General features: G+C 40.0%; 1 long non-coding RNA gene across 2 annotated transcripts in view; it reads left to right on the top strand.

Annotated features, from left to right (window-relative positions):
• The first annotated feature begins 300 nt into the window (after positions 1-300).
• LOC101927026 (uncharacterized) overlaps positions 301-14,035 on the top strand; it is a 51,795-nt gene continuing 38,060 nt past the window's right edge. For both annotated transcript variants that reach the window (NR_188389.1, NR_188390.1), the window contains exon 1: positions 301-780. This is a non-coding gene — a long non-coding RNA (uncharacterized LOC101927026). The remainder of the gene's footprint in view (positions 781-14,035) is intronic.

The following is a 14,035-nucleotide window of genomic DNA, read 5'->3' on the forward strand; positions in this document are numbered from 1 at the left end:
AATCCTTACTAACTGATAAATCCTGGCACATCAAGGTGTCAATAAATATTTGTTGATTTGGTTCAGTTTTCAGTCTTATTTAAACAACCTGCTTTGTGGGTCTTTTCAGAAATGATCACAGAAACAGAATCTCTCAACTTAAAAGCCAGAAGCGAGCATCAGGGTCAACTTGTCCTGCTCTCTGAGGTCACATAGACAGAGACTGTGATGTCAGAACCTACCTTCTGTGACAAAAGTTTTTTTTTAAAAAACACATAGAGGCATCTGGTTTAAAGCAATTTCTTCTGCATTCTTACCTTTACTGTCTTCGTCTCTCAGGTGGGGGAAAAGGGATATAGAAGCATATAGTCTAAGCTGGGAGTTAAAAACACTAGGTTAAAATCCTAGCTTTGCTACTGAATAGCTGTGTGACCTTAGGCAATTTACTTAACCTCTCTGAGTCTCTGTAAAATGGAGGGAAAAAATGCTTCTCTGGAAGAGTGGTTAAATACTTGAAAGAGGCAATGTAACTGTCTTATGCCTAGAGCATAGTAGGTGCTTAACAAACAGTAGCTTATTTCTGGCATTATAATTAGATGAGGGGAAGGTCCCTCCTAGCACAGACCCTGGAAGATTCTATGACTCAGGGAGTGGGCAGATTGCATCCATGGTCCCTGCCCTCATTTGTAGCTACCTGAAGGGCCTGTCTCAGCAATAAAAACAGCCAAGTGAGCACAGGCAGAGAAACATCATTTCCTCCTCCTCTTGAGGGCAGGAGTCCAGGCGCAGCCCCAGCAGCAGGTAATGCCCTAAAGCCAGGTAAGGATGCTCCCTCCTCACTAACCTTCATAACCACATCAGCAAGCTGGGAAGTTTTAATAAGCTCAGCTGGATCAAATCGCTCTGCTCCTGAGTCAGCTGTCCCAGGCCTGGGGGGGTGGTGTTGGTGGCCTGGTTAGAACTTTCCTCTGGCTTCAGGGAAGTGAGCCCTTTTAGCAGTGTCTTTTGCTCAGGACAAGGCCATATGGCTACAACCATGAGAGGCATGACAGCTACGACTTACTGAGTTTTTACTTTGTGCATTTCCACCTCCAGCAGCCGCACTCGTTACTTTAGTAAGCATTGTAGATCCAATTCGTCCATGGCTAGTCTGGGATGAGCCAAGTTATGTTATTCTCTCACTTTAAAATCCTCTAAAAACCATCCTTTACACTTGGAATAAAACACAACGTTTTTACCATCTCCTAAAATTCCTACATGATCTGACCCTGCTTTCAGCTGATTTTCTCTCCCTTTTTCCTGCTTTCTGTGTTTCAGCAACACTGTCCTTCTCTTTCTTGAGCACATACATCCTTTCCTGCCCTAGGACCTCTGCACTTGCTGTTCCGCTGATGCTTCCTGACCCTTCCTGGGATATTCTTTTATGTGATTTTTGTATGTCTGTCCTGGTCTCATCCTTCAGGTCTTGTTCAAGTGTTAATTGCTTCAGAAGATCTCCCTTCAGCATTAAAGCCACTGGTTTATTTGACAGATACTGTCTTATTAGTGCCATTATTATTTTCATTTTTATAAATGACAAAATTGAGGCTTGGAAAAGTGAAATAACCTGCCTAAGGACCCACAGCTAGTAAGTAGTACAGTTGCAATGGAATAGAAAGGCAAGTAACTGTGCTGTTGTTTTCTATGAGGCTTGCTTACTTATCAGGGGAATCTTCTTTTGGGAAGTCATTTTAGGTTCAGATTGATTCATGTTGCGTCTCTTTCTCTGACGCATACTCAGACCGTGTTTGATTACTGGTGTAAGCAAACTTCCCTGATCAGAATGCTAGCCTTCCTCTTTTCCTGTGGGCCAGCACCTTTATCATTTATCTTATTACAAACCCAATTGGAAACAGCTCATGCTGAGGAGAGACCAAAATTGCCAACACTAAACTTTTCTACTTTCCAAAGCAGTTTGTGAAATAAAAGGGGTAACAATTTTTCCCCCTCAGGCCAATTCAGTATAGTGATAAGAATAGGTCTCAACACCAGGCACAAACAATATTTCCCTGTCGGTGTGGGATCTACCCTTGTAGGACCCCCATTCATCTACACCCTCACCCAAGCCCAAGCACTTCTTATCCACTTCTTTCCCCTTCCTGCTGCTGAGATATGTCCCTGGTTGAGACCATCAATGCCAGATGTTGATGGACAAAATAGCCATGAAATGTTTTTTCTCTTTTCACTGAATTCCCTGGGGACTCCTGGACTTTTTCCATGGGAGGCCAGAGAAAGAGCATTGGATTGGAATCAGATAAAACCGGGTTCAAAGCTCAGAGCTCCTACTCATCAGGTAAAGGACTTTGGGTAAAGTAATTATCCCTTTCTGAGCCTCAGCTTTCTCATCTGTAAATTACTGGCCTTACTGAGTAGTTAAGAAAATTAAAAGAGATAATACATCTCAGATTGCTTGGTATACATCGTACTGAGTGGGAGGGTAGAATGATCGTCAAAGGTGCAAGGTTCCATTTTTACTAGTTAAGCTGGTTTACCATGGGGAAGGTACTTATTTTCTTAGCACGTTGGTTAAGCTCATCTAAAATATCAGGATAGTTACAGAACATTTGTCATTAGGCTTTTGTATAAATTACGTAAGTTAGTTCATGGAGAGTTCTCTTTAGCCATGGCTGGAATGTAGTTAGTGTTCAACCAATACTATTATTACAATTGATATCAACTTTCTTCAAAAATGTCAGCAAATGGGAATTTTTGGTTATTGTGCACTCTCTCAATCTTTCTAGGATTTTAAGCTCTGTCCACATTACTGGAATGGAAGGAGATATGAGTAATGGAGACTCATTCCTCTTCACCAACCCCTGGACCACTTCTCTTAGGAGCTCTTTTCTGTTAGGATGAGTATAGGCCCTAAAGTGGCCTACCCCACAGACCCTCTGGACATGCCCTGACATAATCAGATACCAGAAGAAGCACAGTGGGGGCTTTTGACCCACAATGCTACTGCTCAAAGCAACTTGGAATGAGAGGAAGTGGGTTCTTTATGAAGAGGACCGTCCTTCCCCCAAATCAAAATGCCAGAAATCATACCACTTCCAGCCTTGACAAAGCAGCTGGCTTTGGGTTAGCCTCCCTGCTTTAAAAAAGTATAAAACTAAACAAAATTTATGCTTCTAGTCACTGGGTAGTAAGCAGCCCAAGACTGTGATCCTGGAGTGTGGGAAACTCATGAAGTAAGACCCACATCAGTGTGGTATTGGCTGGGACAATCTTTGGATCACGGTGCAGAGAGTTGGAGCCTGGGTAGGAAGTAGCAGTGCTACTGATCTGATGAGGCAGAGATCAGAGATCAGGACTGCTGAAGTGGCTGGAAGCTATAAGGCAGGGCACTGGAAAGGAGGGAGCTGAACAGAGAAATCTCAGTAAGTCTCTGTAGGGATTCTAAAGGATTCCTTGGCTGAGGGATGCACATGTGCAGAGCAAAATTATGCAAGACTTACCAGTGAGTCACTGTCATGGGCTGACAGAAGATAATACTGCAGGTTAATGAGTACTAGGAGATGTGAGAGTTGTGGTCTACCCACAGTTGAGAAACCTTGTTAACATGTTGGTCATCCAGATGAGAAACCAGGAAAAATACTCCTATGATGTGGGAATATATTATAGAGCAAGGTCTTCTCTGGATCTTCTCTAACAAAGCTTAAAATCTAGCCTGGCAAAATCTGCAGAGACATCAACATTTGGAGTTTGAGGGGCTTAGGAAAAACCTTGGGGATTCTATAGATCTACTTTAACAAAGCATAATGCCAAGACTACACATGTTAAAGGTGATTCCTCAGTAACTGATCCTCCTTAGAGAATAAAAATCAACATTCTTTAGAGTGAAAGAACCCAGAGTCTCTATAATGTTCCTTTATTGATGTCCAGTATACACTAAAAAATCACTAGACATGCAAAGAGTCAGGAAAATGTTAACCATTCATTGTCAAGAACAAAAGTGAGTTTATAGAAATCAATACCAAGATGATGGATATTATGAAAAAGAATATAAAGCATCAACTTATTGGTTGATTTTTAAATTTATTTAAAATAAATTTTATTGTGTATATTTAACGTATACAATATAATGCTATGGGTAACATACAGATAATAAAATGGCTGTTATAGTGAAACAAATTAACATATCCATCATCTCACAAATTATCTTTTTTTTGTTTTTTGTTGCAAAAACAACTAAAATCTACTTATTTAGCAGAAATTCCAAATACAGTACAATTTTATTACCTATAGTCTTCATGTTGTACATTAGACCTTCAGACTTCTTAGTCCTATATATGTACTATCTCATATCAGCTGACTTACATTTCCTTATTTCTTCACTACTCCTTTTTCTTGTCCCTGGTAATCAATATTTTAATCTCTACCTCTATATATTTGACTTTAGAAAAAATAATTTTATAATATTTTTCTTTCTGTGCCTGGTTTATTTCACTTAGCATAATGTTCTTCAGGTTTATCCATGTTGTGCAAATGGCAGGCTCTCCTTGTTTTTAAAGCTAACTAGTATTTCATCATGAAATAAGTTTCTTTATCCATTTGTCCACTGATGGACATTTAGTTGTTTCATACTTGGCTATTATGAATATAAAGCATCTAATTAGATATATTCAAGAACTTAAAGGGAAATATGGCCCTTCTGGGTAAACAGATAAGGAATATCAACAAAAAATGGAAATTACATAAAAAACATGAAAATTATGAATTGAAAAGTATTGTAATTTAAATTAAAAATTCACTAAATGGATTTGATAACAGATTGGAAACCCATTTGTGATGAAAAACTCTTAGGAAATTGAAACAGAAGGGAACATCTTCTATTTGATAAGCAGCATCTATAAAAGCTGTACAGTTAACATACTGTTTAGTGAATGCTTTTGCCCCCACCCTCCACAATATTAGAAACAAGGCAAGAATATCTTACCACTATTAAATTTTTTGCTAGATGGGGGAACTAGTTAGTGCAACAAGGCATCAAAAGTAAGAACAAAGGTATGGAAATTTGAAAGGCATAGTAAAATTTTTCTCTATTTTCAGATGACATGATTGTCTACATAGAAAATTCTACATAAAATTCTAGACATAATAAATGAAATTAGCAAAGTCAAAAAATTCAAGGTCAATATAAAAATCACTTGTGTTTAAATTTGTTGATCATAAGGAACTAAAAAATGAAATTTAAATATCATTTAGAAGAAGATCAAAAATAAAATATTTAGGAATGAATTTAATGAAAGATATGCAAAACTTTAATAGTAAAACCAATTAACATTGCTAAGAGCAATTGAAAAGGAAAAAGAGGGGAGATTGAGAGAGATACCATGTTCTTGGATTGGCATATTCAATATGATTGTGGTAGGTAGACCTCTAATATGGCTTCCAATGATCAGCATCTCCTGGTATTCACGTCTTACGTAATCCTCTCCCTTTAGTATGTGCTGAGTCTAGTGACTTGCCTCTAATGAATAGAATATGGCAAAGATGATAGAATGATTCTTCTGAGATTAGGTTCTAGAAGACTGACTACTGTCTTCTTCTAACTCTCTCTTGCTTACTTTGATGAGGCCAGCTGCCATGGTGTAAGCTTCCTTATGGAAGGATCCACATAGCAAGGATTTGAGGGTAGCCTCCAGCTCACAACCAATAAGGGTGAGACTGTCAGTTCAACAACCTGTGAGGAACTAAATCCTGCCAATAACCACTGAGTGAGCTTGGAAATGGATCCAGTCAAACCCTCAGATGACTGCAGTCTAGGCCACCTAATTGCATCCTTGAGTGAGACCCTGAGCTGGAAGACCTAGCTAAGTCATGTCCATGTTACTGACCCACAGATAATCTTCTGAGATACTAAATGCTGTCATTTTGTGTTTGGAGATTTTTTTTTATGTAGCAGTAGATAACTAATAACATTGTTATTGTATTGTTCTCTCCAAACTTACCTATAGTCATAATCCCAGTCAAAACCCAAGCAGGCTTTGTAGAGTACAAAAGATGTAGAATAGCCAAAACCATTTGAAAAACAAGAGAGAAATTAGGGAAACTGCACTACTCAATTTCAAAGCTACCATATCAAGACTGTAAAAGTTTTGAAATAAAGCTACAGTATCAAGACAGTGTAGTATCGGTGTAAAGACAGAGTCTAGAAATAACCCACACATATGATCAACTCATTTTAGACAAAGACTTTAAGAATTCACTTGGATAAATGGGGTGTTTTTTTAACAAATGGTGATAGAAAAAGAGGATATTTAGAGAGGAAAATGTGAGCCTTGGTCTCTGCTTTACACTATACACGAAATTTCATTTACAATGTATCACAGACCTAAATATAAATGCTTAAATCTGTAAGAAGAAAACATAGGAGAAAAATCTTATGATTAAGACTTATGACATAAGACTTACATCTTATGACTTCAGACTTATGACATGAGACTTATGCCTTATGACTTAAGATGTCTAAAATTAAAAAGAATGACTATGTCAAGTGTTGTTGAGGGTATGAAACAACAGGAACTTTCTAATGGTACGACCACTTTGGAAAAGAGTATGTCAGTGAAAACGTTAAATACACACTCATAAGTTAAATACACACTCATAAGACTCAGCAGTTCTGCTCTTGGCTATTTATCCAAGGTGAAATAAAAATGTACATTCACAAACAGACTTGTACCTGAACGTTCACTGCAGCTTTATTTCTAACAGTCAAAAACTGGAAAAAACCCAAATGTCTATCAACAAGTGAGTGAAAAACAATTTTGGAATAGTACTGTACAGTTAAAATGAACATCCTACTGTTACATGCAAGAACCATGACTGGATCTCGAAAACAGCCTGGGTTAAAGAAGCCTTACATTGAAGAGTAAATACTGTATGATTTCACTTTAAAAAGTTCTCGAATCAGCAAAAATTATCTATGGCAATAGAAATAACATCAATAGTTGCCTAGGGTGGAGAGTTGAGGATTTATTTCAAAGGGGCAGATGGTAACTTCTGGGGTGATGAAAGTTTTCAGTGTCTTTTTTCTTTTCTTTTCTTTCCTTTTTTATTTTTTTTTTTGAGACGGAGTCTCGCTCTGTCACCCAGGCTGGAGTGCAGAGGTGCAATCTTGGTTCACTGCAGCCTGCGCCTCCAGGGTTCAAGCGATTCTCCTGCCTCAACTTCCTGAGTAGCTGGGATTACAGGTGCACACCACCGTGCCTGGCTAAGTTTTGTATTTTTAGTAGAGATAGGGTTTCACCATGTTGCCCAGGCTGGTGTCGAACGCCTGACCTCAAGTGATCCGCCCGCCTTTGCCTTCCAAAGTGCTGGGATTACAGGTGTGAGCCACAGCGCCTGACCCATTTTCAGTATCTCGATCAGGGTAGTGGTGACTGTTAGAGAAATACCATATAGTTCAAAAGAAAATCCCCTCTCAACTCAGAAAGGTAGAAGAGAAGGCAGACGATTTCATTACTGAATAAGCATTAGTCCAGAATGTGATGTACATCACAGGCAATCTGCCGCACAATTGCAAAGATAGAAAGAAATCTCACCCTTTTATACAGTCAAGCAGATACAACCCATTACCTGCAGATTCTCAAGATAAACAATAAATAGTCCTCAAGTCAGAGAATTTGACAGCAACATTTGTCATACATAGTTCACCCTAGATTCACTTAGTAATTGGGATGGCCATCTGTGCTTGCTAATTGGCTTTATCCTAAGGAAAAATAGACTTCTCACATCTTTATGACAGGAGACAGTTTTGTAACTTGCAGTGAGGTGCCCACTCCAGCTTGGATTAGACTCCTATTCTCCCACAGGAATTGGGAGATAGAGGCGCCATCTTTCTTGATGATTACATTTCTAAGAGATGGTACCCAGGTCCCTGAGAAAGCCATTTCTGGCTCCTAAAGCTGGCAAGAGACTTAGTTCACTTTTAAAAAGATTTACATACATTTTAAAGAGACAGAGAAAGAGCCTACAATTAGAGGTTTTCTAAAGTAAATGCTCTAACAAAAGAGAGGGAGAAGTCTCTTTCATTATTTTCAACAGGGAAAATTAGGCCTCTTGTTTTTAATTTGTCTTTGCCACTACATGATGTAAGGGTATATCTTTGTCCAAATTATTAAACTGTACACTGAAAATGTGTGCATCTTAGTGTATGATAATATACCTTAAAAAAGGTGATTTAAAATATGCCACGAGTCCTCTGGAACACTTCTGCAGACAAAAAAGATAACAAGTGTTGGTGAGGATATGGAGAAAAGGGAATCCTTGCACACTATTGGTGGGAATGTAAGATAGCACAGCCATTATGGAAAACAGTATAGAGAGGTGCCTTAAAAAGTTAAAAATAGAACTACCATGTGAGCCAACAATCCTACTACTGCATACATATCCAAAGGAAATAAAATCACCATGTCAAAGAGACATCTGCACACCCATGTTTATTAGAGCACTATTCACAATAGCCAAGACATGGAAGCAACCTACGTGTCCATCAATGGATGAATGAATAAAGAAAATGCAAGGCCGGGCACGGTGGCTCACGCCCGTAATCCCAGCACTTTGGGAGGCTGAGGCGGGAGGATCACGAGGTCAGGAGATCGAGACCATCCTGGCTAACACGGTGAAACCCCATCTCTACTAAAAATACAAAAAATTAGCCAGGCATGGTGGCGGGTGCCTGTAGTCCCAGCTACTCGGGAGGCTGAGGCAGGAGAATGGTGTGAACCTGGGAGGCGGAGCTTGCAGTGAGCCGAGATCATGCCACTGCACTCCAGCCTGGGTGACAGAGCAAGACTCCATCTCAAAAAGAAATAAATAAATAAATAAGAAAATGCAGTATATATACACAGCAGAAAAACTGTTCAGCCACAAAAAGGAATAAAATTCTACCATTTGTGACAGCATGGACGAACCTGGAGGACATTATATGAAGTGAAATAAGCCAGGCATTGAAAGACAAATACTGCATGATCTCACTTATATGTGAAACCTTAAAAAGCTGATCTCACAGAAATATAGAGTATAGTGTTAGAGGGGTGGGGAGAATGGGAGACGTTGGTCGAAGGATACATAATGAGAGGAAGAATAAATTTCAAGACATCTATTGTGCAGCAAGGTGACTGTAGTTAATGATGTTATGCTGTATTCTTGAAAAATGTAGAGTGGATATTATGTGCTCTCCCCACAAAAATAATAACCGTGTGAAGAAATGCATTTGGTAACTTTTGGGTTGGTGCAAAAGTAATCGTGGTTTTTGCCATTACTTTCAATGGCAAAATGTATATATACTTTAAGACATCGTGTGATACATAATAAAACATACTATGTTATCTGTCAATCAAAAAAAAAATAGGCTGGGCATGGTGGCTCATGCCTGTAATCCCAGCACTTTGGGAGGCCGAGGTGGGCAGATCCTCTGAGGTCAGGAGTTAGAGACCAGCCTGGCCAACATGGTGAAACTCTGTCTCTACTAAAAATGCAAAAATTAGCCGGGTGTGGTGGCAGGCACCTGTAATCCCAGCTACTCAGGAGGCTGAGGCAGGAGAATCGCTTGAACCCAGGAAGCGGAGGTTGCAGTGAGCCAGGATCATGCCATTGCACTCCAGCCTGGGCAACAAGAGTGAAACTCTGTCAAAAAAAAAAAAAAAAAAAAAAAAAGAACAGGGGAGAGAAAAGCACGGAAATGGCCTTTCGGCAATGGTCAAACTGTGATTTCAGGAAGTAACCTCGGGCTCTCATGCTGTGGTTTCTGTGGGAAACAGCTCTGCCAGTCTCCCATTAGGAAAAAAAATTATCCCTACATAATACTTAATGTGTGTCAAATGAGCATTTCTCTCTCACAGACGAGAAACCCAAAGCTCAGAGAGTTTTAGGGGTTTATCTGGGATCTCATGGCAGGGAAGTGGGCTGCGTCCACATGCAATTCCTGTTCTGTCTGATACTAGAACTTCCTTCTTTTTACTATACAGTTTCTTTTGAAGCTGTATTTTAAAATTACTATTTCTTTTAAGAGTCAAATTGAGCTGGGGGTGGTGGCTCATGCCTGTAATCCCAGCACTTTCAGAGGCCAAGGTGGATGGATCACCTGAGGTTGGGAGTTTGAGACCAGCCTGATCAACATGGAGAAACCCCATCTCTACTAAAAATGCAAAATTAGCCAGGCATGGTGGTGGTGCATGCCTGTAATCCCAGCTACTGGGGAGGCTGAGGCAGGAGAATTACTTGAACTTGGGAGGCGGAGGTTGCGGTGAGCCAAGATCGCGCCATTGCACTCCAGCCTGGGCAACAAGAGTGAAACTCCATTTCAAAAAAAAAAGAGAGTCAAACTGATGAAGGTCTTGATCCTCTTGGAAACAAATATCTGGAAAACATCTCTACAGTGATCTCTGAAAGGTGGCCTGGAACAGTATCAGAATTCCCACTTAAACCCCAGCTGATGGCTTTGGAAAAGTCACTCCATCCATCCAGTCTCAAAATTCCTTATCCGTAAAATGAGACTGCCAGTATCTATTTCAAGATTTGGAAATAGTAAATGGAAACGCAGGTCAATCATTAGGCACAGAGCAGGCTTTGCAAGGTAACAGTTATTGCTGGTTATCATTAACTGTATAGTCATTAGCAGAATCTCTTAACCAATATGCTGGGCTCAGGGAACCCCAGGGCCATGAGTCAATGGGGAGAACAACCAAGGACACCTGAGTCTCACTAGCTGGTTCTGAATTGTGAGATGTCTCAGTTCCTGTTTTCCCTTGGTTACCAGATGGCGACCCCTAAGATGAGGCAGCTATACAAATCGATTGTGATGCTCTTGTGTTACTTTTGTAAGACTCTGATCATTTCTGGCCCTGTAGACACCACCACAATCTGTCTAACTGAACTCTTCAGCAAAAGGGTGATTTGTTCCCATCTTTACCATCTGAACCAGAGGCATCCATGAGTTAACCTGGCATTGTCTCAGGAGAAGCAGGGATGATTTATAAAGACAGCGACGACATAACCGTCTCCATGACCCGACATGTCTCACACCTCTTTTCATTGGTCAAACAAATTAATCTGGATATGTCATTTAAACACAACAGCTACAGTGACTCAAAGAGCTGAGGCTGGGCAAGATGGAAGATGTGTCCATTCTCCAAGCTGGGATAGGAAAGCTTTGCCAAGCCTCATTCCATCCTAGCTTTTTTTTAGCCCTTGATTGCTTTATGATAAAAGATGCTCATTTTCTTGTAACCCCTTAAAATTTGGAAGGATAGGGTGGTGATGTCTATTCTTAAAAAAAACATGGATGATAGTAAAAATAAGAAAAATCCTCTATGTTTCCCTTTAGTTACCCATCAATTCATACTAAGTCTGTCTCAGATGGGTCAAAGAGAATCCTTGTACTATGGTATGGTTGAAAACTGAATGTGGCTTGTCAATATTTTACTTGGTCTATGTAGTGGGGGTTTTAATTTTGTCCATGTTTCTTTTTTCTTACTTAAAAAATAGAGAAAAGTAACAATGCCTATGTGCCTATCAACCAAAAATAATCAACTGCATATATATATATACATATATATGTATATATATATATATTTTTTTTTTTTGAGACAGGGTCTGGCTCAGTCACCTAGGATGGAGTGCAGTGGTACAATCTCAGCTCAATGCAACCTCTGCCTCCTGGGCTCAAGCAATTTTCCCACCTTAGCCTCCCTAGGTGCTGGAACTACAGGTGGATGCCACTCTATTCAGCTATTTTTGTTTGTTTGTTTGTTTTGGTAGAGGCAGGGTTTTACCATGCTGTCCAGGCTGATCTCAAACTCCTGGGCTCAAGTGATTGATCAGTGTCAATTTCCTAAAGTGCTGAGATTACAGATGTGAGCCACTATGCCTGGCCTCAACGCCTGCTATTTTCATGATACTGATATTTTTTTAATGGAGTGTAAATCTTTATTTGCCAATATTTTATAAGGTGAGGGTTTTGCATAAAAATATGGATTTCTGGATTGGAAAATTGAAAAAGCCTGAAAAAAACTGGGTTTGCATGTGGTAACATTTACCTGGAACTGACTTAACTGTTCCCCATTAAATAGAGTAGAAACCTTCCAGTTTGCCACAGTCCCCACCATTCCCCTTTTGCTTCTTTCTCTCTCTTTCTTTCCTTCTCTTTCTTTCTTTCTTTCTTTCTTCTTTCTTCTTTCTTTCTTTCTTTTTCTTTTCTTTTCTTCTCTTTCTTTCTTTTCTTTTCTTTTTTTTTTGAGTCCCTCTCTCTTGCCTAGGCTGGAGTGCAATGGCATGATCACGGCTCACCGCAACCTCCGCCTCCTGGGTTTAAGTGATTCTTCCACATCAGCCTCCTGAGTAGCTGGGATTACAGGCACCCACCATCATGCCCAGCTATTATTATTTTTTTTTGTATTTTTGTAGAGACAGGGTTTCACCATGTTGGCCAGGCTGGTCTCGAACTCCTGACTTCAGGTGATCTGCCGGCCTTGGCCTCCCAAAGTGCTGGGATTACAGGCGTGAGACACTGCACCTGGCCTCCCTTTTGCTTCTTACAGACAGCTTGGTTATCTATTTGACCCTTGTAGATGGGTGGGTTTCTGATTTTTTTTTTTTTTTCCGTGGTTTTCTTTCCAGTTTTCCTCCTCCCTGATGGTTCCTTTGGTTTCTTAATTTCCCTGATCTTTCTAGTACCCCACTTCTCTTCCTCTCAACCTTTAGCCAGAATGTCAGTTTTTAAGTCCCTACCCTGGCTGGGCTTTGAGGAAAGTGGAAGCCAGATCCTTTAGGTGTTGTGCTAGGAAGGAAAGGATGCAGGAGCATACTTTTTCAGTTAAGCCTGGAGAAACAACTTTCAGACAAAGCTTTCTTTTTGGCCGTCTTTTAGCATAGTTTCAGTTTATCATAACTTTAAATAAGTATAGCTTTTCTTCATCTTTCCCAACATGACTCTCTTATGTCAGAACAGCAGGGGGCACAAAATTATTTCCTGGGAATAGAATGAGGTGGAGACAGTCCCCATCAGGCCACTTTGGAAAACATGAAAAATATTACAAAGCAGAAGAAATAATTTTTAAACCGAGAGTTAGCCACTCTGGTATATTTCCTCCAGTATTTTAAAATTTATTTTATCTCCATAGTTGAGACTGAAATAATACAATTTTGCATTTTCATTTTTTTGCTTGTCATTATTGAGTAAATATTTTCCTATGACATTAAAAATGCTCATAAACATACTTTTAATGACTACATAAGTCCATCATAGTAATGTACCCTCATTTGTTTAACCAGTGCCATACTAGGAGACAGTTGGACTGTTTCCTGTTTCCTGTTCACTGTGTTGTAAATAACAGTGTACACGAAACATTGTGTTTCAGAATATTTCCATATGATATTTTCTTTCTTTTTTCTTTTCTTTTCTTTTTTTTTTTTTTTTTGAGATAGAGTCTTGCTCTGTCTCCCAGGCTAGAATGCAGTGGCACGCCATCTCGGCTCACTGCGAGCTCCGCCTCCCGGCTTCACGCCATTCTCCTGCCAACTACAGGCGCCCGTCACCATGCCCGGCTAATTTTGTTTTTTCATTTTTAGTAGAGACGGGGTTTCACTGTGTTAGCCAGGATGGTCTTGATCTCCTGACCTCGTGATCCACCCGCCTCGGCCTCCCAAAGTGCTGGGATTACAGGCGTGAGCCACCGCACCCAGCCCCATGTGATATTTTCTAAAAGGAGGATTTCTGCCTTGAAGAGTTGGACATTTTTAATGTTCTTGATATATTTGCCAAGTCGAAACTCACATTTTGGTATTTGCGGGTAGTATCTTCATTGTACAGATATTGTGAAATGTTGGTGCAATGCCCCCAAAGGACTGGGTGACCCAAAGTGATGGGGAGGGAGGGTGAGCACTGGGGTGATGGATGAGAGATGTTTTGAGCCTTCTTGAGTGGAAAGTTGATATGGTTTGGCTGTGTCTCCACCCAAGTCTCATTCTGAATTGTAGTTCCCATAATCCCCATGTGTCGTGGGACTGATCAGTG

Source organism: Homo sapiens, chromosome 16, assembly GCF_000001405.40.
Source record: "Homo sapiens chromosome 16, GRCh38.p14 Primary Assembly".
Lineage (NCBI taxonomy): Eukaryota > Metazoa > Chordata > Mammalia > Primates > Hominidae > Homo > Homo sapiens.